The sequence below is a fragment of the Homo sapiens genome, chromosome 19 (genome assembly GCF_000001405.40).
Source record: "Homo sapiens chromosome 19, GRCh38.p14 Primary Assembly".
Taxonomy (NCBI): Eukaryota; Metazoa; Chordata; class Mammalia; order Primates; family Hominidae; genus Homo; species Homo sapiens.
In genome coordinates, this window is record NC_000019.10 from 4,559,797 (window position 1) to 4,573,897 (window position 14,101).

At 53.5% G+C, this 14,101-nt stretch overlaps 3 annotated features.

Moving 5' to 3' along the window:
- Nucleotides 7,761-8,261: an enhancer, noted in NCBI's record as "H3K4me1 hESC enhancer chr19:4567569-4568069 (GRCh37/hg19 assembly coordinates)". NCBI's record gives its function as "activates a minimal SCP1, AML or CMV promoter by ChIP-STARR-seq in primed H9 embryonic stem cells {active_cell/tissue: H9 hESC(primed)}" and the evidence as "EXISTENCE:reporter gene assay evidence [ECO:0000049][PMID:30033119]".
- Nucleotides 7,781-8,075: an enhancer, noted in NCBI's record as "tiled region #3644; HepG2 Activating DNase matched - State 12:CtcfO". NCBI's record gives its function as "activates a minimal TATA promoter and a strong SV40 promoter by Sharpr-MPRA in HepG2 cells {active_cell/tissue: HepG2}" and the evidence as "EXISTENCE:reporter gene assay evidence [ECO:0000049][PMID:27701403]".
- Nucleotides 7,781-8,075: a silencer, noted in NCBI's record as "tiled region #3644; K562 Repressive DNase unmatched - State 8:EnhW". NCBI's record gives its function as "represses a minimal TATA promoter and a strong SV40 promoter by Sharpr-MPRA in K562 cells {active_cell/tissue: K562}" and the evidence as "EXISTENCE:reporter gene assay evidence [ECO:0000049][PMID:27701403]".

The following is a 14,101-nucleotide window of genomic DNA, read 5'->3' on the forward strand; positions in this document are numbered from 1 at the left end:
CTTCCAGGATTTGTGACTCAGCGAACACCCGGATTCCACGTGTGTTCAGGGCACGGCCCTGTTTCCTTCAGAATTTCCTTCCCTGGCTCCTCCCCTGCTCTACAGCCTCCTGTGGCTCCCAGGGACCCCTGAGTCCAGGCCCCAGCCTCTCCCTGGGATTCAAGGCCCCTGACCTCAGACCCCACTTCGGCCTACCCTCCCCTCATGCCACGGGCCTTTCTAGCCCCCTACCCCAGAACCTAACTAAGAGCCCTGTCTGCCCTGTGCCTTTAAAAAAAAATGGCTAAAATATATATAACATAAAAGCTGTCATCTTAACCATTTTCATTTAACTATTATTAGTAGTATTATTATTTGAGACAGAGTCTTGCTCTGTCGCCCAGGCTGGAGTGCAGTGGTGCCATCTCAGCTCACTGCAACCTCCCCCTCCCGGGTTCAAGCGATTCTTCTCAGCCTCCCAGGTAGCTGGGACTCCAGGTGCATGCCACCATGCCCGGCTAAATTTTTTTGTATTTTTAGTACACATGGCGTTTCACCATGTTGGTCAAACTGGTTTTGAACTCCTGACCTCATGCTATCCACCCACCTCGGCCTCCCAAACTGCTGGGATTACAGGTGTGAGCCACCATGCCCAGCCTCCTTCATTCTTATTATTTTTTTGAGATGGAGTCTCGCTCTGTCACCCAGGCTGGAGTGCAGTGGCATGATCTTGGTTCACAGCAATCTCTGCCTCCCAGGCTCAAGCGATCCTCCCGCCTCAACTTCCCAAGTACCTGAGACCACAGCCACGTGCCACCACGCCCAGCTAATTTTTGTATTTTTAGTACAGATGGGGTTTCACCATGTTGGCCAGGCTGGTCTCGAACTCCTGACCTCAGGTGATCCACTCGCCTTGCCCTCTCAAAGTGCGAGGATTACAGGTGTGAGCCACCACGCTCGGCCACCTTTTGGTTTTTTGACAGTCGCCATCCTAATGGGTATGACATGCTGTGTCTTTCATCTTGTGTTTTATCAGAATAATATTTAATTCTAGAAACTATTTCTTTAAACATTAAGAGACAGGGTCTGGCTCTGTTGCCCAGGCTGGAGTACGGTGGCACAATCACCACTCACTGCAGCCTTGAACTTCCAGGCTCAAGCAATCCTCCTACCTCAACCTCCCGAGTAGCTAGGACCATAGGTGTGCACCACCAAGCCTGACTTTTTTTTTTGCCGGGGGTGGGGGACGCAGGGGAAGGTGGACAGAGTCTCACTCTGTCACCCAGGCTGCGATGCAGTGGTATGATCTCGGCTCACTGCAACCTCCACCTCCCAGGTTCAAGCAATTCTCGTGTCTCAGCCTCCTGAAAAGCTGGGATTACAGGTGTGCACTGCCACGCCCGGTTAATTTTTGTATTAATTTTGTAAAGCACTTTGTGAGGCCAAGGCAAGAGGATCACTTGAGCTCAGGAGTTTGAGACCAGCCTGGGCAACATAGCGAGACACGCCCCCATAATCTCTACAGAACATAAAAAATTAACCAGGCATGGTGGCACGTGCCTGTAGTCCCAGCTACTTGTGAGGCTGAAGCAGGATGATTGCTTGAGCCCAGGAGTTCAAGAATGCAATGAGTTATAATTGGTCCACTGTACTCCAGTCTGGGCGACCGAGTGAGACCCTATCTCAAAAAAAATAAAATTAATTTAAATTAAAACAACGACAAAAAAACACCTAGCAAACATAAAGCACTTGCTAGGTGCCAGGCATTATCATAAGTACTTAAATTAACTCATTTAATCTTCACAGCACCCCCAAGGGGTGAGTGCTCTTTTTTTTTTTTTTTTTTTTTTTTGGAGACAAGAGTCCTGCTCTGTCGCCCAGGCTGGAGTGCAATGGCGTGATCTCGGCTCACTGCAACCTCAGCTTCCCGGGTTCAAGCAATTCTCCTGTCTCAGCCTCCCAAGTAGCTGGGATCACAAGTGCCCGCCACCATACCCGGCTAATTTTTGTATTTTTAGTAGGGATAAGGTTTCACCATATTGGCCAGGCTGGTTTTGAACTCCTGACCTCAGGTGATCCACCCACCTCGGCCTCCCAAAGTGCTGGGATTACAGGCATGAGCCACTGCCCCCGGCCAATTTTTGTATTTTTAGTAGGGATAAGGTTTCACCATATTGGCCAGGCTGGTCTTGAACTCCTGACCTCAGGTGATCCACCCGCCTCGGCCTCCCAAAGTGCTGGGATTACAGTTGTGAGCCACGGTGCCCGGTGGGCCCTTAACTGTTTTTAAGTACACACAGTTCACTAGCATTAAGAACATCCACATAATTGTGCACCCATCACCACCACCATCTCCAGAACTTTCTCGACTTCCCAAACTGAAATTCTGTCCCCATGAAACACTCACTCCTCACCCCCCTCCCCAGCCCCTGGCACCTCCCATCCTACTGTCTCAGTGAACCTGATGACTCTAGGGACTTCCTAGGAGTGGGTCACACAGTGTTTGTCCTTGCGTGTCTGGCTCTCTCACTGAGCGGGATTGCCTCAAGATGCATCCACACTGTGACCTGTGTCAGGGTTTCCTTCCCCTTTTTTTTTTTTTCTTGTTTTGAGACAATATCGCTCTGTCTCCCAGGCTGGAGTGCAGTGGCACGATCTCAGCTCACTGCAACCTCCGCCTCCTGGGTTCAAGCGATTCTCCTTTCTCAGCCTCCCAGGTAGCTGGGACTCCAGGTGCACGCCACCACGCCCGGCTAATTTTTTTTTTGTATTTTTAGTATACATGGGGTTTCACCATGTTGGTCTGGCTGATCTTGAACTCCTGACCTCATGCAATCCACACACCTCGGCCTCCCAAAGTGCTGGGACTACAGGTGTGAGCCTCCATGCCCAGCCTCCTTCATTCTTATTATTTTTTTGAGATGGAGTCTCGCTCTGTCACCCAGGCTGGAGTGCAGTGGCATGATCTTGGTTCACCGCAATCTCTGCCTCCCGGGTTCAAGTGATCCTCCCGCCTCAACTTCCCAAGTACCTGACACCACAGCCACGTGCCACCACGCCCAGCTAATTTTTGTATTTTTAGTACAGACGGGGTGTCACAATGTTGGCCAGGCTGGTCTCGAACTCCTGACCTCAGGTGATCCACCCGCCGTGGCCTCCCAAAGTGTGAGGATTACAGGTGTGAGCCACCATGCCCGGCCACCTTCCAGTTTTTTGACATACCCATCCTAATGGGTATGACATGGTGTGTCTTTCATCTTGTGTTTTATCAGAATAATATTTAATTCTATTTCTTTACACTTTTTTTTTTTTTTTTTTGAGACAGGGTCTCACTCTGTTGCCCAGGCTGGAGTGCAGTGGTGTGATCTCGGCTCACTGAAAGCTCCGCCTCCCGGGTTCTCGCCATTCTCCTGCCTCAGCCTACCGAGTAGCTGGGACTACAGGTGCCCACCACCAAAAATTAGCACCCGGCTAATTTTTGTTGTATTTTTTAGTAGAGAGAGGGTTTCACCATGTTAGCCAGGATGGTCTCAATCTCCTGACCTCGTGATCCGCCCGCCTAGGCCTCCCAAAGTGCTGGGATTACAGGCATGAGCCACTGCCCCCGGCCAATTTTTGTATTTTTAGTAGGGATAAGGTTTCACCATATTGGCCAGGCTGGTCTTGAACTCCTGACCTCAGGTGATCCACCCGCCTCGGCCTCCCAAAGTGCTGGGATTACAGTTGTGAGCCACGGTGCCCGGTGGGCCCTTAACTGTTTTTAAGTACACACAGTTCACTAGCATTAAGAACATCCACATAATTGTGCACCCATCACCACCACCATCTCCAGAACTTTCTCAGCTTCCCAAACTGAAATTCTGTCCCCATGAAACACTCACTCCTCACCCCCCTCCCCAGCCCCTGGCACCTCCCATCCTACTGTCTGGGTGAACCTGATGACTCTAGGGACTTCCTAGGAGTGGGTCACACAGTGGTTTGTCCTTGCGTGTCTGGCTCTCTCACTGAGCGGGATTGCCTCAAGATGCATCCACACTGTGACCTGTGTCAGGGTTTCCTTCCCTTTTTTTTTTTTTCTTTTTTTGAGACAGTCTCGATCTGTCTCCCAGGCTGGAGTGCAGTGGCACGATCTCAGCTCACTGCAACCTCTGCCTCCTGGGTTCAAGCGATTCTCCTTTCTCAGCCTCCCAGGTAGCTGGGACTCCAGGTGCACGCCACCACGCCCGGCTAATTTTTTTTTTTTGTATTTTTAGTATACATGGGGTTTCACCATGTTGGTCAGGCTGGTCTTGAACTCCTGACCTCATGCAATCCACCCACCTTGACCTCCCCAAGTGCTGGGATTACAGATGTTAGCTACCATGCCCAGCCTCCTTCATTCTTATTATTTTTTTGAGATGGAGTCTCGCTCTGTCACCCAGGCTGGAGTGCAGTGGCATGATCTTGGTTCACCGCAATCTCCGCCTCCTGGGTTCAAGCGATCTTCCCGCCTCAGCCTCCCGAGTACCTGGGACCACAGGCGGGTGCCACCATGCCTGGCTAATTTTTGTAATTTTAGTACAGACAGAGATTCACCATATTGCCCAGGCGGGTCTCGAACTCCTGACCTCAGGTGATCCACCCACCTTGGCCTCCCAAAGTGCGAAGATTACAGGTGTGAGCCACCACACCCGGCTATCTTCCAGTTTTTTGACAGTAGCCATCCTAATTGGTGTAATATGGTCTGTCTTTCATCTTGTGGTTTGTTTTTTTTTTTGAGACGGAGTCTCGCTCTGTCACGCAGGCTAGAGTGCAGTGGCACGATCTCGGCTCACTGCAAGCTCCGCCTCCCGGGTTCACGCCATTCTCCTGCCTCAGCCTCCCCAGTAGCTGGGACTACAGGCTCCCGCCACCACCACGCCCAGCTAATTTTTTGGATTTTTTAGTAGAGACGGGGTTTCACCATGTTAGCCAGGATGGTCTCTATCTCCTGACCTCATGATCCGCCCACCTCAGCCTCCCAAAGTGCTTGGATTACAGGTGTGAGCCACAGCACCCGGCCTCATCTTGAGTTTTATCAGAACAATATTTAACTCTAGAAACTATTTCTTTAAACATTGTTTTAAGAGACAGGGTCTGGCTCTGTTGCCCAGGCTGGAGTACAGTGGCACAATCACCACTCACTGCAGCCTTGAACTTCCGGACTCAAGCAATCCTCCTGCCTCAGCCTCTCGAGTAGCTGGGACCATAGGTGTGCACCACCATGCCTGGGTTTTTTTTTTTTTTTTTGGGCAGGGGGGAGGGAGCCGGGGAGGGGGGAAAAGATTCTCACTCTGTGGCCCAGGCTGGAGTGCAGTGGCTCACTACCGGCTCACTACAACCTCCACCTCCCAGGTTCAAGCGATTCTCGTGTTTCAGCCTCCTGAGAAGCTGGGATTACAGGAGTGCACTGCCACGCCCGGTTAATTTTTGTATTAATTTTGTAAAACACTTTGGGAGGCCAAAGCAAGAGGACTGCTTGAGCTCAAGAGTTTGAGACCAGCCTGGGCAACATAGTGAGACACCCCCTCACAATTCCTACAGGAAATAAAAAATTAACCAGGCGTGGTGGCACATGCCTCTAGTCTCAGTTACTTGTGAGGCTGAAGCAGGATGATGGCTTGAGCCCAAGAGTTCAGGAATGCAATGAGTTATGATTGGTCCACTGTACTCCAGTCTGGGCAACCACGTGAGACCCTGTCTCAAAAAAATAAAATAACAACAGGCCAGGCGCCGTGGCTCACGCCTGTAATCCCAGCACTTTGGGAGGCCAAGGCAGGCGGATCACGAGGTCAGGAGATAGAGACCATCCTGGCTAACACGGTGAAACCCCGTCTCTACTAAAAACACACAAAAAAATTAGCTGGGCGTGGTGGCAGGTGCCTATAGTCCTAGCTACTCGGGAGGCTGAGGCAGGAGAATGGCATTAACCCGAGAGGCAGAGCTTGCAGTGAGCCGAGATCGCGCCACTGCACCCCATCCTGGGTGACACAGCGAGACTCTGTCTCAAAAAAACAACAACAACAAAACACCTAGCAAACACAAAGCACTTGCTAGGTGCCAGGCATTGTCATAAGTACTTAAATTAACTCATTTAATCTTCACAACACCCCCAAGGGGTGAGTGCTCTTTTTTTTTTTTTTTTTTTTTTTGGAGACAAGAGTCCTGCTCTTCGCCCAGGCTGGAGTGCAATGGCGTGATCTCGGCTCACTGCAACCTCAGCTTCCCGGGTTCAAGCAATTCTCCTGCCTCAGCCTCCCGAGTAGCTGGGATTACAGGCATGTACCACCACACCCAGCTAATTTTTGTATTTTTAGTAGAGATGGGGTTTCACCATGTTGCCTAGGCTGGTTTCGAACTCCTGGCCTCAAGTGACCCACCCTCCTCAGCCTCCCCAAGTGCTGGGATTACAGGCGTGAGCCACCGCACCTGGCCTGGTGAGTTCTCTTAATAGGCCCCTTATACAGACAGAGAAACTGAGGCACAGAAAGGTAAAGTCATTTGCCCGAAGTCAGGGATCAGCGGAGCCCACAGATCCTGCTCCATTTTACTTATTTTGATAATAACACACAACTGAACCCCAAATGTTTACTGCGGGGAGTCCAGGCCACTTCACAACGAACCCCATCTACTTAGCTTCAGTTTACCCCCTCGATCTGGGGTTACCCGACGCCTGTGCGCCTCCCCCTATCCCCAAGACCATCTGCTTCTCTCCGTGAAACTCGAGGAGCCTCTGCCAGCAGCCGCTCGGCGCCTGCCTGCTCAGAAGCGGCCCCAACACCTGCCACGCTGCGGCTGCCGGACACCTGGTCACAGGGAGCCACGGGGCTGGCGGGTGCGCCCCGTGGCGTGCGGGGTTCTCCGGGGCACCCGTGCACCCACATGTCTGCGTGCCCCAGGGGTTGGGGGGCTCCTGCCTGCAACCCTGGGGACTTGCATGTACTCTGTGGGGGCGCCTTGTTGGGGGAGAGGGGCCACAAAGCAACAGCTCCCTCCAGGAGGCCCCCAGCTGTCACTCCAGCTCTGCAAACATGAGCCCACTGTGCAGATGTGGAAACTGAAGCTCAGGAATGGAAACGTCCTCGGGGACCCCCTAGTTTAGCTCTTCTTCCTGGGAGCTCTGTCCTCTGGCGACCCCCATGCCCCACACTCGCCAGCCTCACTCCCAGCTTTCTGTCCCGCCTTGCACCCCCCTCAACCGCCAGCTCTCCGTCTCTCTTTTCCCTCGACTCACGCCCCTCTTGGGCGGCCTTGTACGCTCCTGGGTCCCGAAACCCCGTCTATATCCGATGACACCCACCGTCCTGACTGTAGCCAGGCCTCCCCCAGCTCCGGATTCGGGGTTCAACTTCCCCTCAGCCGCTCCAGGCACGGGGCTCATGAAGTCTCACCCTCAGCCATACGGGGCACGACCCCAGAACCGCGCCGCCCTAGCTACTGTCACCCCGTCATGGGCCTGAATTTCCTGGGGGAACTCTCCCCCAACCTTCTCTCCTCCAGGCCAGCGCGTCTGGGCTGTTCTTGGCCCCTGAGGCTTCGGTGTAAGTTTTAGGATCCGGTTGTGAGTTCCAAGACAAACAACAGATAAAACAAAAACCCTAATGGGGTTCTCGCTGGAGTGGCACTGAGGCTACCGATCCAATCGGGGTCAACGGATGGTCGATGTCCCCCGACCCGGCCCCACTTCTGCGTCCTCCGTCTCAGCTGATGGCTTAGGACACAACTGGAGCTCATCCTGACTTCCCCGCCACACCCCATTCCACCAGCCTCACAGCCAGCATTAGCCACTCCTGCGGCCTCTGCCTTCGAGTTTACGCAGAACTCTCACCGCTTCCCGTCCATGCCGTGGCCACTCACATCCCCGCCTGCCTGGCCCAGCTCAGCCCAGCCCAGTCCCCTCCGCCCTGATCCCCAGGCTGTCCTTCCCGAAACAGCCACCAGAGGACGCCTCTGAGCACATGAGTCAGGTCCCGTCTCTCCTCTGCCCTTACCCCTCCATGGCTCCCACCTGCCTCGGGGTCAAAGCCGGGGTCTTCCCTGCAGCCCACAAGGCCCTGTACAACCTGCCCCATGCCCTGTCTACCCTCTCCTCCTCCCTCTCTCCCACTCATCACTTGGCTCCAGCCACAAGGGCCTCCTTGCTGTTCCTCCAACAGGCCAGGCATGGTCCTGCCCTAGGGCCTTACCCCAGGCTGTGCCCTCTGCTTTGGGAGTTCCCCCAGATACACACGCAACTCACTTCCTCACTTCAGGTCATCTAAGAGAGGCTCCCCTTGGACCTTCCTGGAACCCAGACGCCTCTGCCCTCCCCACTTTATGCCCTCCTCTCCTCCCCCATCACACGCAGGCCCGTGTGCTGCTGGGAGTGTGGGTCTGGGAACAGCTGTGTGGGCACCACTGTCAGAAATGCAGAATCCCAGGACCAGGCCCGCTCACCCAGGCCTGCACCTGATCAAGATCCTGCAGGGATCCACGTGCATCACAAACTCTGAGAGGTGCAGCTTCATGCGTGGATTCCCCAAATAAAATAATCACCTGGGGCCGGGCACGGTGGCTCACGCCTGTAATCCCAGCACTTTGGGAGGCCAAGGTGGGAGGATCACTTGAGCTCAGGTGTTTGAGACCAGCCTGGACAACATAGAAATACCCCATCTCTACAAAAAATGCAAAAATTAGCTGGGCGTGGTGATGTGTGCCTGTGGTCCCAGCTACTTGGGAGGCTGAGGTGGGAGGATCGCTTGAGCCCAGGAGGTGGAGGCCGCAGTGAGCTGCGATTGCCCCACTGCACTCTGAGTGACACGGCAAGGCCCTGTCTCAAATAAAATAAAATTAAAATAATTGCTTGTTGGGGCCGGGCATGGTGACTCACGCCTGTAATCCCAGCACTTTGGAAGGCTGAGGTGGGTGGATCACCTGGGGTCGGGAGTTCAAGACCAACCTGGCCAACATGATGAAACCCCTTCTCTACTAAAAATAAAAATATTAGCCAGGCGTGGTGGTGCATGCCTGTAATCCCAGGCTACTCGGGAGACTGAGGCAGGAGAATCACTTGAACCCAGGAGGCGGAGGTTGCAGTGAGCAGAGATTGCGCCATTGCCTGGGCAACAGAGTGAGACTCTGTCAAAAAAAAAAAAAAAAAAACCCCAGTGAACCAGGGGCACCATCGACAAGCCATCCTGCCCCGCCCTGCTCAGCCCAATCTCACTGGCTGGTTGGGGAAACTGAGGCCCGGACAGAAAACATCGGCAGCTGAAGAAGTCCCAGAAGAAGAGCTTTGGCTCCAGAACTGCACAGCCCAGGTTCAAACCCCGGCTCTGCCTCAGCTGTTTGACCGCAGACAGTCACTTCCCTTCTCCAGGCTTCAGTTTCCCCATCTCTGTACACTGTGGGTGATTTAAAATTCAACCCTAAAGCACCTCCATGAGGAAGAAAGAATGTAATCTGAACCAATGTGCGGCAGGTGAAATATGTTTTTTTCTACATTTTTTTGTTTCCTGATAGCTGGTCTGTAGCTAAAATTCTTTTTTTTTTTTGAGATGGAGTCTCACTCTTTTTGTCCAGGCTGGAGTGCAGTGGTGCGATCTTGACTCACTGCAACCTCCACCTCCCGGGTTCAAGCGATTCTCCTGCCTCAGCCTCCCAAGTAGCTGGGACTACAGGCACCCGCCACCATGACTGGCTAAATTTTTTCGTCTTTTTAATAGAGAGAAAGTTTCACCATGTTTGGCCAGTCTGGTCTTGAACTTCTGACCTCAGGTGATCCGCCTGCCTCAGCCTCCCAAAGTGTTGGGATGACAGGCGTGAGCCACCGTGCCTGGCCCTTTTTTTTTTTTTTTCTTTTTTGCCTGAGCAGGGAAGTTTTACTTTCAATCTACCTTGAATCCTTCTTACTTCCAGAAGCTGGCTTGGTCCCTGGCTCTGTCCCAGGGGTAATTCCTAGCCTGGGTATTGAGCTGTCCTTCAAGGGCAATGCCCACTCTCCTCTCTGACCCCGGCACCACCAACAAGCCATCCCTTTACTGCATATCCCAAGCTCAGCTCTGACCCTGCCACTCCCCTGCTCAAAGGCCTACCATGGCTCCCCAGTGCCCCACAGAAGAAGAACCAATTTTGTTTGTTTGTTTGTTTTGAGATGGAGTCTCACTCTGTCGCCCAGGCTGGAGTGCAGTGGCACGATCTTGGCTCACTGCAAGCTCCGCCTTCTGGGTTCACGCCAATCTCCTGCCTCAGCCTCCCGAGTAGCTGGGACTACAGGCGCCCGCCATCGCGCCCAGCTAATTTTTTGTATTTTTAGTAGAGACGGGGTTTCACCATGGTCTCGATCTCCTGACCTCGTGATCCGCCTGCCTCGGCCTCCCAAAGTGCTGGGATTACAGGCCTGAGCCACCGCGCCCGGCCTAGAACCAATTTTTTTTATACCTCAGTGTTCAAGGACACCTCCCACCCTGGGAATAACTTGAAGCTTCTTCTTGCCCTCACCTACTATCAGGCATTTCCAGCCCCTCCCTGCAGACCTTGGCTCAGGCTGTCCCCTCTGCTGGGGAACCTTTTTAGCCTCCTCAAGGTCCAGCTGCCCTCCCAACCAGCCAGACATAGTAACCTCACGCTCTGTCCTCCAAGCCCTACAGCTGACTCCTGCTTACCAGTCAAGGCCATGCATGCGTGTCCCCGACTCCAGGAAGCCTTCTCTGACTGCCCTGGCTGGGCCTCAGTTTCCCTGGGTTCCCCCAGCCACAACTACCCTGCCCTCATCTTCGCTCAACCGCCAACTTGGAAGCAACTGCATCCAGCTCTGGCGCCCTGTACCCCAAATTGGAAGTCACTTACTTACTCATTGGATTAATAATTATTTGGCACCAGCTGTATACCAGACACATGTGTTCAGGCATGGGGACACAGCTGTGACCGAGACAGCTACAAAGCCCTACCCTTATGGGGCTCCCAGTCCCGTGGGGAGACGGGGGTACACTACACACGTTAACCAATATCGGAACTCGATAGCTTCTGACAATAATAAGCACGACCATAAAAACATGAGGAATGATTAGAGGAGGGGACATTTGAGCTGAGGCCTGAAGGTCGAAGGGGAGACCTCGTGACAAGGTGAGGAAGGTGCTCCAAGGGGAAGGAACTGCAGAGGAAAAAGCGTGGAGACTGAGACCACTAGAGGAAGAGACAGAAGGTCAAGGTGGATGGGGAGGCTGGCACAGCACAGAAAGGACTCCTGGGGCTCTCCCCTTCACTCAGACACGACACTCAGCCTCATTTCTTGTTTGTTTCTAAGGACAGGGTCTTGCTCTGTTGCCCAGGCTGAGTACAGTGGTGCCGTCATAGCTCACTGCAGTCTCAACCTCCCAGGTTTAAGCAATCCTCCTGTCTCAGCCTCCCCAGTAAGCTGGGATCATAGGTGTGCATCACCATGCCCAGCTCATTTTTGTACTTTTTGTAGAGACGGGGTTTCGCTATGTTGCCCAGGCTGGTCTTGAACTCTTGGCCTCAAGTGATCCTGCCACCTCGGCCTCCCAAACTGCTGGGAGTACAGGCATGAGCCACCGTGCCCTGCCCGCATCTTTTTTTTTGCTGTTGTCCATAAAATAAAGACACTAGCTCAGGGCCTGGCACACAGGCATTCACTTTAGGTTAAATGACCTTACTGTGTGACCTTAGGCCAGCTACACGCCCTCTCTGGGCCTCTCTGTTCCAAGATGACAGTGATCCCAGGCAGGCTTGAAGCCTCCGTTTCTCCATCTGCCACAGCACAAGGGACGAGGGCGGGATGTCTGCCTCCAGTTCCATACAAGGAGCTCCCTATCGTCCGGGCCGCCCCAGGATTCTGGCTCCGGGGCCAGCATCCCTCGGGGGATCGAGTAACCTGGTCCCGGCAGCCGGGCCCCAGGGCCGTCCAGGTCTGGTTACGGGCTCTGCTTACAGCTGCCCCTCCAGCTGCCTCGGTCGCCCCCATCACAGCCCAGCCAGGCTCTGGGGCTGTCTAGGAACTTGGCAGGAAGGCTGGAGGGAGTCCCTGGGGCCCAGGCATGAGGGGTGGGGCAGAAGAGAGAGGCCCCCGTGTCCCCCATCCTACTGGATGTCGGTTAACTCATCCCTGCCCAGCCTGGGAGGCGGCCTATGAGCCTCCCCTCCACTTTTTTTTTTTTTTTTTTTTTCTGAAGCAGTCTCGCTGGTGTTGCCCAGGCTAGAGTGCAGTGGCATAATCTAGGCGCACTGCAACCTCCACCTTCCGGGTTCAAGCGATTCTCCTGCCTCAGCCTTCTGAGTAGCTGGAATTACAGGTGCATGCCACCACACCTGGCTAATTTTTGTATTTTTAGTACAGTTGGGGTTTCACCATGATGGCCAGGCTGGTCTTGAACTCCTGACCTCAGGTGATCCGCCCAAGTCGGCCTCCTAAGGTGCTGGGATTACAGGTGTGAGCCACTGCGCCCGTCCTAAGCTACTGCGCCCGGCCTCCCCTCCACTCTTTTTTTTTTTTTTTTTTTTTTGAGACAGAGTCTAGCTCTGTCACCCAGGCTGGAGTGCAGTGGCGCGATCTCGGCTCACTGCAAGCTCCGCCTCCCGGGTTCACGCCATTCTCCTGCCTCAGCCTCCCGAGTAGCTGGGACTACAGGCGCCTGCCACACACGTCTGGCTAATTTTTTGTATTTTTAGTAGAGACGGGGTTTCGCCGTGTCAGCCAGGATGGTCTCGATCTCCTGACCTCGTGATCCGCCCGCCTCGGCCTCCCAAAGTGCCGGGATCACAGGCGTGAGCCACCGCGCCCGGCCTCCCCTCCACTCTTGACCTTCCCTCCTGAGTCCTCAGTTCTCAGAGCCTCAGTTTCCCCATCAGCGAACCAAGCATGATAACCATCCACATCGGCTTCTCATGAGGGGTAAATGAGCAACCCATGATAGGTGCTTAGTTAACTGTCGTGACTGCTGTGTTGCCTTGGGTTAGAACCCTCCCATCTCTGAGCTTGTTTCCTCCTGTGAAAGATGAGGATAAAAATATTGGCTCCACAAGGGCAGGGGTCTGTCTCAGTTACTGCTGTGACTCCAGTGCCCAGCATGGGGCCTGGCACACAGTAGGTGCTCAACAAATCAGCTGAACGAATGTCCCAGCAAGAGCCCCCACTTATAAAATAGTTCCAAGGAGGCTGGGCGAGGTGGCTCACATCTGTGATCCCAGTACTTTGGGAGACTGAGGCAGGAGGATCTCTTGAGGCCAGTTCAAGACCAGACGGGGCAACACAGCCAGACCCCATCTCTAAAAAATAATAATAATAATAATTAGCTGAGTGTGGTGCGACATGCTACTTGGGAGGCTGAGGTGGGAGGATCACTAGGGCCCAGGAGGTCAAGGCTACAGTGAGCTGTGACGGCCTCGCTGCACTCCAGCTGGACGACAGAGTGAGAGCCCTGACTTAAATAATACTACTAATGATAATAATAATAATAATTTAAAAATAAAATAGCTGGCCAGGCGCGGTATCTCACGCCTGTAATCCCGACACTGGGAGGCCGAGGCGGGCAGATCACCTGAGGTCAGGAGTTCGAGACCAGCCTGGCCAACATGGTGGACCCCCCGTCTCTACTAAAAATACAAAAATTAGCCGGGCGTGGTGGTGGGCGCCTGTAATCCCAGCTGCTTGGGAGGCTGAGGCAGGAGAATCGCTTGAACCTGGGAGGCGGAGGATACAGTGAGCTGAGATTGCACCATTGCACTCCAGCCTGGGTGACAGTAAGACTCCGTCTCAAATAAATAAATAAATTAATTAAAATAGTTGCAAGGATATGTTCATTCCAGACTTCTTAAACACCTACTGTGCACCAATATGGCTGGAGACTCAGCCATGCTCAGGGTTGTGCATGTCCAGGGCTTGGCACAGAGCCCTGCATGCAGGAAGCACTCAATTAATGCCGAGTGTCTCTTTTGCAAAGGATGGGACTCTACCCTGAGCCGCCTTCCACATTCAACTCACAGCAGGCCAGGAGAGAAGGAATTCAAGATCAGATTTAGGAAGACTGCACCTACTATGCGCCATGCTTTTCCCACATATGAACTTATTTCTTGCCGGCATCAACCCTCAGAGACCAGCACCCTCATC